A 12,337-nucleotide genomic window follows, 5' to 3' on the forward strand; every position below is an offset into this window, starting at 1 on the left:
GCCTTTAATGTTAGAGTAGACATAAAAATTTCTGACCTTCGTTTCCCTTTGAATTTAGATTTTTGAAATGTAATAAATACCTATTGCTTTTCTCACTGAAAATAAAAGTGTGTTAGGAAAATGGTTTAACAGGTTTTAAGTGAAATATTTTTACATTGACATAATTATTCTCCAGGATGTCCACACACTTCCTAAGTAAGAGTTTGTGATTAAAAGAAAACCTATGCCTAGATAACTTGTGTTAGATCCTGAAGGCTACCCAGTTCTCTGAGGTTAGGAGTTGCCTGGCCTCAAGTCTTTTAAAAAGTTATTGATTCAGGCCTTGCTAATTTGGAATTAAGCTAAAGTTGACCTTTGCATTAATTTTGAAGGCAACGTTTTCTGCACAAATTAATTTAAGACATGATAGGAGAGATTTGCTGATATTCAAACCATTTGAGAATCAAAGCACTTAAAAATACCACATATCTTCTTCTAATTACAAGTGGATTTTGAAATAGATCCTCTTATGATTCTGCCTTTTATTGACAGCTACCATGGTTACATATAACTTGATAATAAAAATATTTTGTTTTCAATTTTTTTGGTAATTTAGTTCACTTCTTTTTCATTGCTATAGCTGAGAATTTGCTATTTAGAGCCTTAGATAGCCAAGGATTCAACAGGAGAATCATCTGTGTCTGTTTAGAAGGGGAAGGAGGGATTCCGACAGTTGAGAGATCTGTCTTTTGAATAGGGGGCTTTGGAACAGTTGTGGACCTTGAGCCTAACTATGGGTGCTGCCAATGCTTATTTGTGATAGTGCTGTATCTTTTTTTGAATTGGAAGTGGGGATGCTCCTGGTGCCCCCGTGTGGAAAACTAGTGGTGCAACACCTTTAAGAACCCCAGTTGTGCAGGATTGGAAACTGAAGGAAGCTAGGACATTGCCTAGAATTTTAGAGGTTAACTTTGTGCTTTGATGGCTTAACTCTGTAAGAGTCAGTTTCCTACAGCAAAAAGGAGGATAGATGGTCTTTGAAGATGCTAAATAGAGACTTAAGAGATGGCTGGTGTTATATTGTTCTCTGTGTTTTTATGTGTTTAAAAAAATTTACGGAAATACTTAAATACATTTAAAGTGATTAGTCTGTTGTTTCAGCTTCTCCTGGTGTATCCTGGGAGATTTTATGCTAGTTTCCTGATAGTCCTCGTGAATCCTGGTTGTAAAAAATAAGCTGAGACCCATTTATTCTATCCTGCATCTTCTTCCAGGTGAGGGATAGTAAGGGAACTAAGAAGGAGGAATAGCAGGGAAGGTCAGAAAACACTTCTAAATTATATTACTTTGAGGGGTTTATTTGTAGAATTAAAATTAAACTGCTAGATTAACATTTTCAATTGTTTCTTCCAACCAGTAATTCCAAGTTTTTCAGGTTAATTGAATATAGTGAAATATCATCCAGTGTGTGCATTTCAAAACAAGATGTAAAAGAACTGTGATTTGTGGCACCACATACTAACGAGGCTTCCCTGAGGTGGGAAGGGCTTTGGCAAGGCTGCAGTAGATGAATGTTGACTAGTGGAAAGGCTGACAATGAGGCATGTGACAACAGGGCTTTTTCCTGCTGAAGACATTAAACATATTCTGGCTTGAGCAATTTTACCAGTTTTCACAGTTTTAGCAATAGGGAACCCAATTCCACTCTGTTTAGCAACAGAGTAGAATTAACTGAATATTTGCATGCAAGATGCTGCATTTTGACAGAAATGAGAATTGTGGTGTGGTGACAATATTTTTAAGGCCTTCGTAGGACTGACTACCTTAGCTATGTATGTTAATGCTGTAACTTCTTCTCTGTCTTACGTTCTATCATGGTATCTCAACTTTTGCAAAGAAAATAATGGTGGGATTTCTTCCCAAAAGGACACTGAAGCCATGAAGAGAGCATTGGCCTCCATAGACTCCAAACTGAACCAGGCCAAAGGTTGGCTCCGTGACCCTAGTGCCTCCCCAGGTAACCCTCTAGTTCTGCTTTTCTGATCAATACAACGAGAAGCTAAAAACCAAGCAAATGAAAGAAAGAAATTTTCCCATAATCTCATCATCTGAGAGAACTACTGTAACATTATGGGGCATACCCCATTATCTGATAGTTCTGAGTAACTGAAGCAAGTAGTAGGCCTTACAAGGATGAAGGGAATAGATTCGATCACCTCTAATCACGGAGGAGTAAGTCATACTGAGCTGGGCATTCTTTGCAAAATTTTTGGTTCTCCCCTTCCCTGAATCCAAAAGGTAATTATTTTGAATGAAAGTTCTTCTCTTCCAGTTCCCATTGAGCAGACTTCCATTTATGTCAACAGAGTTCTTAATTAAGCAGATTAAATCATGATGCCAATGAGAATTGGAAAGTTGACTGTATAAAGATAAGACCCAAATAGGTTATTGAACTAGGCTTTATTGATTTTCTAATCTAATATTTATTCTGTTTTAGATTAATATTTGAATGAATGTGAAAAACCTAAAGTAGGTTGGAGGTGCTAAATACTATTAAATTGTTAGAGTCTGTTTTCATCATCCATATTCTTACCACAAGCTACTTAGTATCTCCAAATAGATACAGTTCCAAGTATCTTTTTTTGCGTGTCTGTTGTTGAAACCTCACCCTATGGTTTAAGGGCACTGCTTGGCTGTTAGCTATCAGATATGTTGCCTTCTATTCACTCGTCTTGTTTAAAATCATCCATTCCTTGGTGAATGAAATGACTTGTAAAGTATCCTCTCTAAATAATGAATGTGTCAACAATGTAGTTATTGAATATCTCTTTATTTTAGGGGATGCTGGTGAGCAGGCCATCAGACAGATCTTAGATGAAGCTGGAAAAGTTGGTGAACTCTGTGCAGGCAAAGAACGCAGGGAGATTCTGGGAACTTGCAAAATGCTAGGGCAGATGACTGATCAAGTGGCTGACCTCCGTGCCAGGTAAAAGTTCCTCTGTCCTTACAGAGCAGTAGTGGGTAACTCACTCCTAACAGGGTGATTCAGAAAACAAGCCTCTGCCAGTTTTGAGTTATCTCTTTGGCTAGTAGATAACAGAGATATTATAGTCTATTAAATTCTTTTGAGATGGAGGTGAACTTTCCCTTTGCTGACTTTATTTATTTATTTATTATTTTTTGAGACAGAGTCTCACTCTGTTACCCAGACTGGAGTGCGGTGGTGCGATCTTGGCTCACTGCAACCTCCACCTCCCAGGTTCAAGAGATTCTCCTGCCTCAGCCTCCCGGGTAGCTGGGATTATAGGCGCCCGCCATCACACCTGGCTAATTTTGTTTGTTTGTTTGTTTGTTTGTTTGAGATGGAGTCTTACTCTGTTGCCAGGCTGGAGTGCAGTGGCGCGATCTTGGGTCACTGCAACCTCCAGCTCCGTGGTTCAAGCAGTTCTCTGCCTCAACCTCCCGAGTAGCTGGGATTATAGGCGCCCGCCACCACGACCAGCTAATTTTTGTATTTTTAGTACAGACGGGGTTTCACCATCTTGGCCAGGCTGGTCTTGAACTCCTGACCTCGTGATCCACCCTCCTTGGCCTCCCAAAGTGCTGGGATTACAGGAGTGAGCCACTGTGCCCGGCCACACCTGGCTAATTTTTGTATTTTTAGTAGAGATGGGGTTTTGCCAGGTTGGCCAGGTTGGGCTGGGATTACAGGTGTGAGCCACCATGCCTGGCCTGACTTTATTTAAAACATGTTTTTATTTATTTATTTATTTATTTATTTAGAGACGGAGTCTCGCTCTGTCACCCGGGCTGGCATGCAGTGGTGCAATCTCGGCTCACTGCAACCCCTGCCTCCCAGGCTCAAGCAATTCTCCTGCCTTAACCTCCCAAGTAGCTGGGATTACAGGCATGGGCTGCCACACCTGGCTAATTTTTTATAATTTTAGTAGAGACAGGGTTTTACCTTGTTGGCCAGGCTGGTCTCAAACTCTCAGGTGATCCACCTGCCTTGGCTTCCAAAAGTGCTGGGATTACAGGCGTGAGCCACCATGACCTGCCAAATTTTTTCTTTTTCTTTTTCTTTTTCTTTTTTATTTTTTTGAGATGGGAGATTCGCTCTTGTTGCCCAGGCTGGAGTGCAATGGCGCGATCTCGGCTCACTGCAACCTTCGCCTCCTGGGTTCAAGTGATTCTCCTGCCTCAGCCTCCTGAGTAGCTAGGATTACAGGAATGCGCCACCATGCCCGGCTAAGTTTGTATTTTTAGTAGAGACGGGGTTTCTCCATGTTGGTCAGGCTGGTCTCAAACTTCCGGCCTCAGGTGATCCACCTGCCTTGGCCTCCCAAAGTGCTGGGATTATAGGTGTGAGCCACCATGCCCGGCCAAATTTTTTATTTTTAATGACATGGCCTTGCTCTGTCACCCAGGCTCAAGTGCAGTGGTATGATCATAGTTCACTGTAACTTTGAACTCCTGGGCTCAAGCAATGTTCCTTCTTCAGCCTCCTGAGTAGATAGAACTATAGGCATGTGCCACTATGCTTGGCTAGTTTTTCAATATTTTGTAGAGATAAGGTCTTGCTATGTTTTGTGGTCTCAAACTCCTGGCCTCAAGTGATCCTCTCAAAAGTGTTGAGATTAAAGGCGTGAGCCACCACTCCTGGCTTGAACTTTTAAAATACACAAATGCCTAATAGTAAAGTTGAAACTTGTTCCGTAATTGAAACTGAAACACAAATCTAGTTTCTAATTTACTAGCCATAGGCTTATGAAAAATAAAGGGGCAGTGGTGAAGTCTGGCATGGGTAAATACATTTTACGGAGGATGGGGAGAAAGAAACATAGCGTGAAAACATTGGAATTATTTCACCTCATAAAAAAATCATTTAACTAGGTTATCCTCTAAGTTGGTAATTTCTGGGCTTTTTTGAGTTTCCTTTTCATGATTATTTATTCGGATTCATAATTATTTACCTTCCTTTTACCCTCCTAAAGCCTTGGCCTTTAGAGCTTTTCTCCCCATAAACTAAATAAACATAGTTTGCTATTGAGAAAACTCAATATAATATAAATTTGTTTGGAATTCATACAGATGAACTCATCCATAGTGATAATGAAGTTCTAAAAGATTTTTATAGAATTTTATGGTATGGACATTACGAAAACTTGGAATAGGATGAGACACTCATGAAACATCATGAGATAATTAGGATACACAGGGTCTACATACAAACAGGGCTCAGAAACACTCCTCTACATGCAGTGCACCATTATACCTGGTCTCCAATATTAGTGCAATAGACATAAGAATGCAGATCTTATTTATTTATTTTTATTTTATTTTATTTTATTTTTTTGAGACAAGAGTTTTGCTCTTATTGCCCAGGCTGGAGTGCAATAGCATGATCTTGGCTCACTGTAACTTCCGCCTCCTGGGTTCAAGGCATTCTCCTGCCTCAGCCTCTTGAGTACCTGGGATTACAGGCATGCGCCACCATGCCTGGCTAATTTTTGTATTTTAATAGAGACGGGGTTTCACCATGTTGATCAGGCTGGTCTTGAACTCCTGACCTCAGGTGATCCGCCTGCTGCGGCCTCCCAAAGTGCTGGGATTACGGGTGTGAGCCACTGTGCCTGGCCAAGAATGCGGATCTTAAAGGCGTGGTTCTTAACCTTTTGTGGACCAAGATCACTTCTATCATCTGATGAAAACATTCATCCTTACCTAAAAAGATGCATATAAACATGCCCATACAATATTATGTATAATTTCTAGAGGTTCCTGGATTCCCTGCAGCCCTGGAAGCTCCAGGACTTTCAGGTTGCGTCTCTATGTTGAAGGGGAAAGAAACAGCTTAAATAAATGTGATCCCATTGAGTTCAGTGAATCTTTTCTCCTGCTGAGAAGCAGTCTCCTCTGTCATGAGCATGGTAAGAACTTTGCAAAAAGGACAAAAAGAAGTTTTGTTCTCATTCGGAGAAATGCCAGTGCAGTTTGATAGGATTCTTGGCTCTTCTGATTTCTCACTTTTGTGTCTTTTGTCTGCAACCTTTTCCCAGTGTGGTAGCCAGTTTTCACTTGGAATTCTCAAATACACAGTTGTATGTGTTTAGAGAAAGATGAGTATGAGCAAGAGAATGAGGTAGTTATTGTAGGGGTTCCACCATTAATCTGTAAAGAGAAAAGGCTAGAACAGTGAAGGGTAACTATGGTCCTGCTTCACAGTGGAGCCTGCAATATCCTTTCCTGATGAAAGATTAGAAAGTTATCTCCCTGTAGTCCTTTCTTAAGTGTACCCAGCTGTTTAATATTTTAGTGGCTGAAATGCGGTAACAATTTCTTCTTGATATTCTGTTCAGTCACACAGGGTTTCTAGGTTGCTAGTATATATTTTTACCCCCATGAGACTCAATAAAATCTTTCTGTTTTGAATGAAAAAACTGTGTAGCCCATAAATAGTTTTACTTTTTCACAGTTGGACTCTTTTTTAAAAAAAAAATTTCTAAATTTCCAGCCTCAGAGAAGTTATTATTTTGTAATATACAGTTGGACTCTTTTAACAAAAAGATCTCTCATCATGAAGTAGTAGATTTGAAGAAAAAAAGCACATTAAATCCTAAAGACTATGTTTCCTAAAAGTCTTCCCCTCTTCTGCCACATAAAAGGAAGGCCTCAACTTCAAGGAAAAAGTGTATATATACCTTTTATATACCCGGCAATAAATGAATGATTCATTACCTCAAGTTTTGGTATAGATGAAAAACAGAATAATTTTATTTATTTATTTATTTATTTTTTTTTTTAGGTTTTTCTTTTTTTTTTTTTTTTCTTTTTTTGAGACGGAGTCTCGCTCTGTCGCCCAGGCTGGAGTGCAGTGGCGTGATCTCGGCTCACTGCAAGCTCTGCCTCCCGGGTTCACACCATTCTCCTGCCTCAGCCTACCGAGTAGCTGGGACTACTAGGCGCCTGCCACCACGCCTGGCTAATTTTTTTTTTTTTTTTTTTTGGATTTTTAGTAGAGACGGGGTTTCAGCGTGTTAGCCAGGATGGTCTCGATCTCGTGACCTCGTGATCCGCCCACCTTGGCCTCCCAAAGTGCTGGGATTACAGGCGTGAGCCACCGCGCCTGGCCGAAAACCAGAAGAATTTTAAAAAGAGGCTAGATAGGCTGGGTGTGGTGGCTCACACCTGTAATCCCAGCACTTTGGGAGGCTGAGGCTGGTGGATCTCTTGAGGTCGGAAGTTCAAGACCAGCCTGGCCAACAGTGTGAAACCCCGTCTCTACTAAAAATACAAAAATTAGCCAGGCATGGTGGCACATGCCTGTAATCTCAGCTACTCGGGAGGCCGAGGCAGGAGAATTGCTTGAACTACTTGAGAGGCTGAGGTAGGAGAATTTTGGCTCATTGCAACCACTGCCTCCCAAGATCGCGCCACTTCATTCCAGCCTGGAAAACAGTGAGACTCCGTCTCAAAAAAAATAAAAAAACCCACAGAGGCTAGATAGATGAATGACAGATCAATACTATTATGAAGGGAAGCAAAGGTGTTTTGGAGTTTATCCTAAAAATAGAAGTTCTGATTAGGATAATCAGCCATGCCATTCTACCAAATGGTAAAGTTACTGCCCCTATCATTGAGTTTACCAGCCTGCTTGGATTAAAACAATCTGGATTGTAAAATGAGGGCAAATCATACTTTGTGACTTGGAAAGTAAATAAGGAAAACAAGTAAATAGGGAAAGTAAATAGAGAAACAAGTTTCCATGAACTCATATCATTTTTAGTAGTAATAGCATATCATTTCTGAGAGAGGAAAATAGTGAAATCAGTTCTTTAGGAACTTGATGGGAAACAGTGGTTTCCTATCACCATGTGCTCAGTATTAGCTAGTTTCGATTATTTATATATTTATAGGTTGCCTAGGAGGAAGGTAGGCATTTAAGATTATCATTAGGTTCATTATAAAAATGATGATAATTCAGTAATAATGATAGATTTTTATTGCCAGTGTTTTCAAGTATATTATTTTGATGCTTGAAGCCACTCCATAAGATAAGTGGGGAAAATGTATTACCTACCTTCATTATATGTTACCTTCACTATATAAGTTAGAAAATGGAAACCCAGGGAGGTTAAACATCATAAACAAGGTTCCACAGGTACCAAGAGTCAAGATTTGAACACAGATCTGCTTGTTCCCAGTCTGGTACACTTTCATTAACACTATGCGTGCTTCCTCCTGAAACATTTTCAATGTATACTTGCCCATAAGAAGACAATTTAATGGACTATTTATTTCAGAAGCACACATTACTATGGTAACAAAGCCCTCCCTAGCAATAAGATCACCAGCACATTTTCCCACTGAAGTTTAGATTGGATTATGTAATCACTACCAAGAGGAGAATAATTATCAAAATTTGCTGGCCTGGTCTTCAAAGTGGTTATGCAGTTCCGTGAAGCTAATGTGCATTTTTAAAAGAAAAAGTACTTGATTTGGGCGTCTTGCTTTGTTTATGTCTGTTTTCTTGTGCTGTCCCAGATTTACTGGGAAAAAGGAAAAAGCCAAGCATGTTCATGAAAACCACATGTACTGTGCTATTGGGAATATTTTGTCATTAAGTATTTGAGGGTGTACAATGACAGCATGTGTCTGTTTTGAGCAGAGGACAAGGATCCTCACCGGTGGCCATGCAGAAAGCTCAGCAGGTATCTCAGGGTCTGGATGTGCTCACAGCAAAAGTGGAAAATGCAGCTCGCAAGCTGGAAGCCATGACCAACTCAAAGCAGAGCATTGCAAAGAAGATCGATGCTGCTCAGGTAGTCACAGTGATTTTCAGGAGGGGTGGGAAATATTTCATAAATATCCTAAGTCATAAATATCCTATCTTTCTTCTCTGTCTCTTATCATTTACTGTGGTTGGATAATGGTTTCTAAGTGATGAGTGACTTCCAGCACTTACCAATGTTAACACCTCCTTTACCACCACAGGTTTAGACAAATGTTTATCTATATTTTGAAATAAAGATCTTAATTTACAGCACTTCAGTTAGGTAAAAGTAAGCTCTCAGAGTACCAAGGGAAGATTGCAGTACATTGGAACTATTCCTTGTCCCAGAATTCACAACTCTTGGGTCATTGTAATGTTTAGGGGTTAAAGTTTTCCGATACTGCTCTACTGTAAAATGATTTTCAAGCATTTCACAAACACACATGTTTGAGGAACTGAGGAACTAATAAGGTGTGGTTAATTCAGAGATGAGATAAAGCTTGGGAAAATATTTTATGCTAATGGGTGTAAAAAAATTGATTTTAAAAAGATGAGAGATTGAGTTTCTTATCTAAGAACCTCCATACAATAATAAAGATCAGAATTATAAAAATGATTACTGGTATATTACTTTTGAAATCCTTCTTCTGGCCTTGTTAAGTTTAGTAGAAAGGAGTGTGTGAGTAGATCACAGCGTGCTGCTTCTCCGTTTCTATGTGTAGAACTGGCTTGCAGATCCAAATGGTGGACCGGAAGGAGAAGAGCAGATTCGAGGTGCTTTGGCTGAAGCTCGGAAAATAGCAGAATTATGTGATGATCCTAAAGAAAGAGATGACATTCTACGTTCCCTTGGGGAAATATCTGCTCTGACTTCTAAATTAGCAGATCTACGAAGACAGTATGTATTTAACCCTTACATTGCCTTTTCATATCTTTTCTTCTCTTTCTCTCTCCCTTCCCTCTCCCTTTCTTTCTTTCTTCCCCCAAGAACATACATATTTCAATTCCCCTAGGTTAAATGCACTTATGATGCTCTTCCACTATATTCTCATTAATTCTAGGTCAGATGTTAATTTGCTGTATCAGTGATGTAACTGAGGTTTAATGATTTATTGCTGGTCACATAGTTATAAATTGATAAATTTAGGATGCTAAGAACTCCTTTTTTGAGATGCTTTTTAAATTTCTAAGCTAGGGCTTTCTTTGATACATCATGTTTATGACCTATCTGTTTCCCATACATAAGAGGAAAATAATTTTTGTGGCTAGCTATGAAAAGACTCCTATGTGTATATGGAGGGGAAGAAGCGTAAGAATGTACTTTCCTCCTTCCCCAGCAATGATATTTTGTAAGTAGCAAGTATAGGAGATACTTAAATTACATTTCCTGGATGATTTTTCTTGTAACAACAGCCTCCCCACAGCCTCCTCTCCTAAAGTCTCTCATGGCACCTACTTTGATGATATGGAAAAGGGGTATTTCCTCTTTTTTTTTTTATTTTTTATTTTTATTTTTTTGAGATAGGGTCTCACTCTACCACCCACGCTGGAGTGCAGCGGCATGACTATGCCTCACTGCAGCTTTGAACTCCCAGGCTCAAGCCATCCTTCCACCTCAGCCTCCGGAGTAGCTGGGACTACAGGCACGTGCCACCATGCCTGGCTAATTTTTTTATTTTTTGTAGAGACGGGGTGTTGCTATGTTGTCAGGGCTGGTCTCAAACTCAAGGGCTCAAGCTATCCTCCCACTTCAGCTTTCCAAAGTTTTGGGATTACAGGCATGAGCCACTGCACCTAACTGCTTTCTTCTTTCAATAGATATTTTTCACTTTTAAGAAAAAAACCCCTGCAGCACATGCTAAAATAACACTAAGGAAGGGTTTAATGTCAAATGTAAAAGTTGCTCTCTATACTCTTAGGACCTAATGGAAGTCCATATACATACTAGGTACTCTTTAATGTTTCTTAATGATGAAGAGGTAATGAATGGTAATGGTGCTAACAGCAGACCTTCATGTGTGGTCATTCATGCCATCATTACTTAATACTATAGCACACACATAAACATACATCTATGTAACCTCTTGCCAGGAGTAGCCACGATCAGAATCATGTTAAAGACCCTCTTTGTTCACCTTTATAAAGGAGAATGTTATAAAAATTTAGAATCATAAAGGAACTCTTAAGAGAGTATCTAAGCTGGGCATGGTAGCTCAGGCCTGTAATCCCAACACTTGGTGAGGCTGAGGGCGTGTGGATCACTTGAGGTCAGGAATTCAAGACCAGCCTGCCAGCCTGGCCAACATGGTGAAACCCTGTCTCTACTAAAAAAAATACAAAAATTAGCCAGGCCTGGTGGTGGGTGTGTAATCCTAGCTACTCAGAGGCTGAGGCAAGAGAATAGCTTGAACCCAGGAAGTGGAGGTTGCATTGAGCTGAGATTGTGCCGCTGCACTCCAGCCTGGGTGACAGAGTGAGACTCTGTCTCAGCAAAAAAAAAAAAAAAAAAAAAAAGAAAAGAAAAGAAAAAAAAGAGAGAGACAGAGTATCTAAATTAGCTGTTCTGGCGCGGATGGGCTATTATTTTTATTTATGTATGTATTTTATTTATTTATTTATTTATTTTTGAGACGGAGTCTTGCTCTGCTGCCAGGCTGGAGTGCAGTGGCGTGATCTTGGCTCACTGCATCCTCCGCTTGCCAAGTTCAAGTGATTCTCCTGCCTCAGCCTCCCGAGTAGCTGGGACTACAGGCGCACACCACCACGCCCAGCTAAATTTTTGTATTTTTAGTAGAGATGGGGTTTCACCATGTTGTCCAGGATGGTCTTGATCTCTTGACCTCGTGATCCACCCACCTCAGCCTCCCAAGTCCTGGGATTACAGGTGTGAGCCACCACACCTGGCCTATTATTTTTATTTTTACAGATGAGACAGATAAAGTTAGCCTGAAAGTTACCTTTCTATGGCTGAGAGGACCTGAGATGGAAAATGAGTCAGATTCTTTGTATTTTTATAATGGTTAGAATTTGAAGTCTTTGGAATAAGGTGTTGGGGGCAGTTTTTTTCTTTGTGATATAATTGTGGTTGTCTTTTTATTTCTGTGTTGATACTTGGTTGAGGTTCTTTGGTTGGAAGGACCTGGTCAAGTAAAAAGTAGAGGATTATTGAAAATAGAGGCACCTCATCAAACCCAATAGCTTGAATGTGGCCAGATCTTGGGCAACTGGAAGCCCCTCCCTCCACCTCTTAGTCGCTGTGTGGGATCCTCTATGTCTGTTTCACCCTGTGTGTTGACTTAGTTTATTTATCTGGGGGTTTTGTCTCTGGCTGTGAGCTACCACGGCCCAGGCTTAATCACTTTCCAGCTCCAGATACCATCACTGGTTGACTATGCAGTGTTTTTGAAATATGGACCCAGGATTATCTGCCTAAGAATCATCTGAGAAGGTCGTTAAAAATGCAGACCCCTTGACCCCACCGCAGACATACTTAATTGGAATCGCTTTTGATGGTGGGTTTAACAATCTGTATTTAAAAATAAGATCTCCAGTGACTTTTATCCACACTGGACTTTGAGAACCCCC

The 12,337-nt window shown here is 40.2% G+C and overlaps 1 protein-coding gene across 2 annotated transcripts in view; it reads left to right on the forward strand.

Moving 5' to 3' along the window:
- The window catches only part of VCL (vinculin), a 123,248-nt gene that overhangs the window by 82,433 nt on the left and 28,478 nt on the right, over positions 1–12,337 (forward strand). For both annotated transcript variants that reach the window (NM_003373.4, NM_014000.3), the window contains exons 7-10: positions 1,906–1,996; positions 2,818–2,965; positions 8,648–8,801; positions 9,475–9,650. In NM_003373.4, the coding sequence (NP_003364.1) occupies positions 1,906–1,996; positions 2,818–2,965; positions 8,648–8,801; positions 9,475–9,650 (569 nt within the window). The remainder of the gene's footprint in view (positions 1–1,905; positions 1,997–2,817; positions 2,966–8,647; positions 8,802–9,474; positions 9,651–12,337) is intronic.

The sequence above is a fragment of the Homo sapiens genome, chromosome 10 (genome assembly GCF_000001405.40).
Source record: "Homo sapiens chromosome 10, GRCh38.p14 Primary Assembly".
Lineage (NCBI taxonomy): Eukaryota > Metazoa > Chordata > Mammalia > Primates > Hominidae > Homo > Homo sapiens.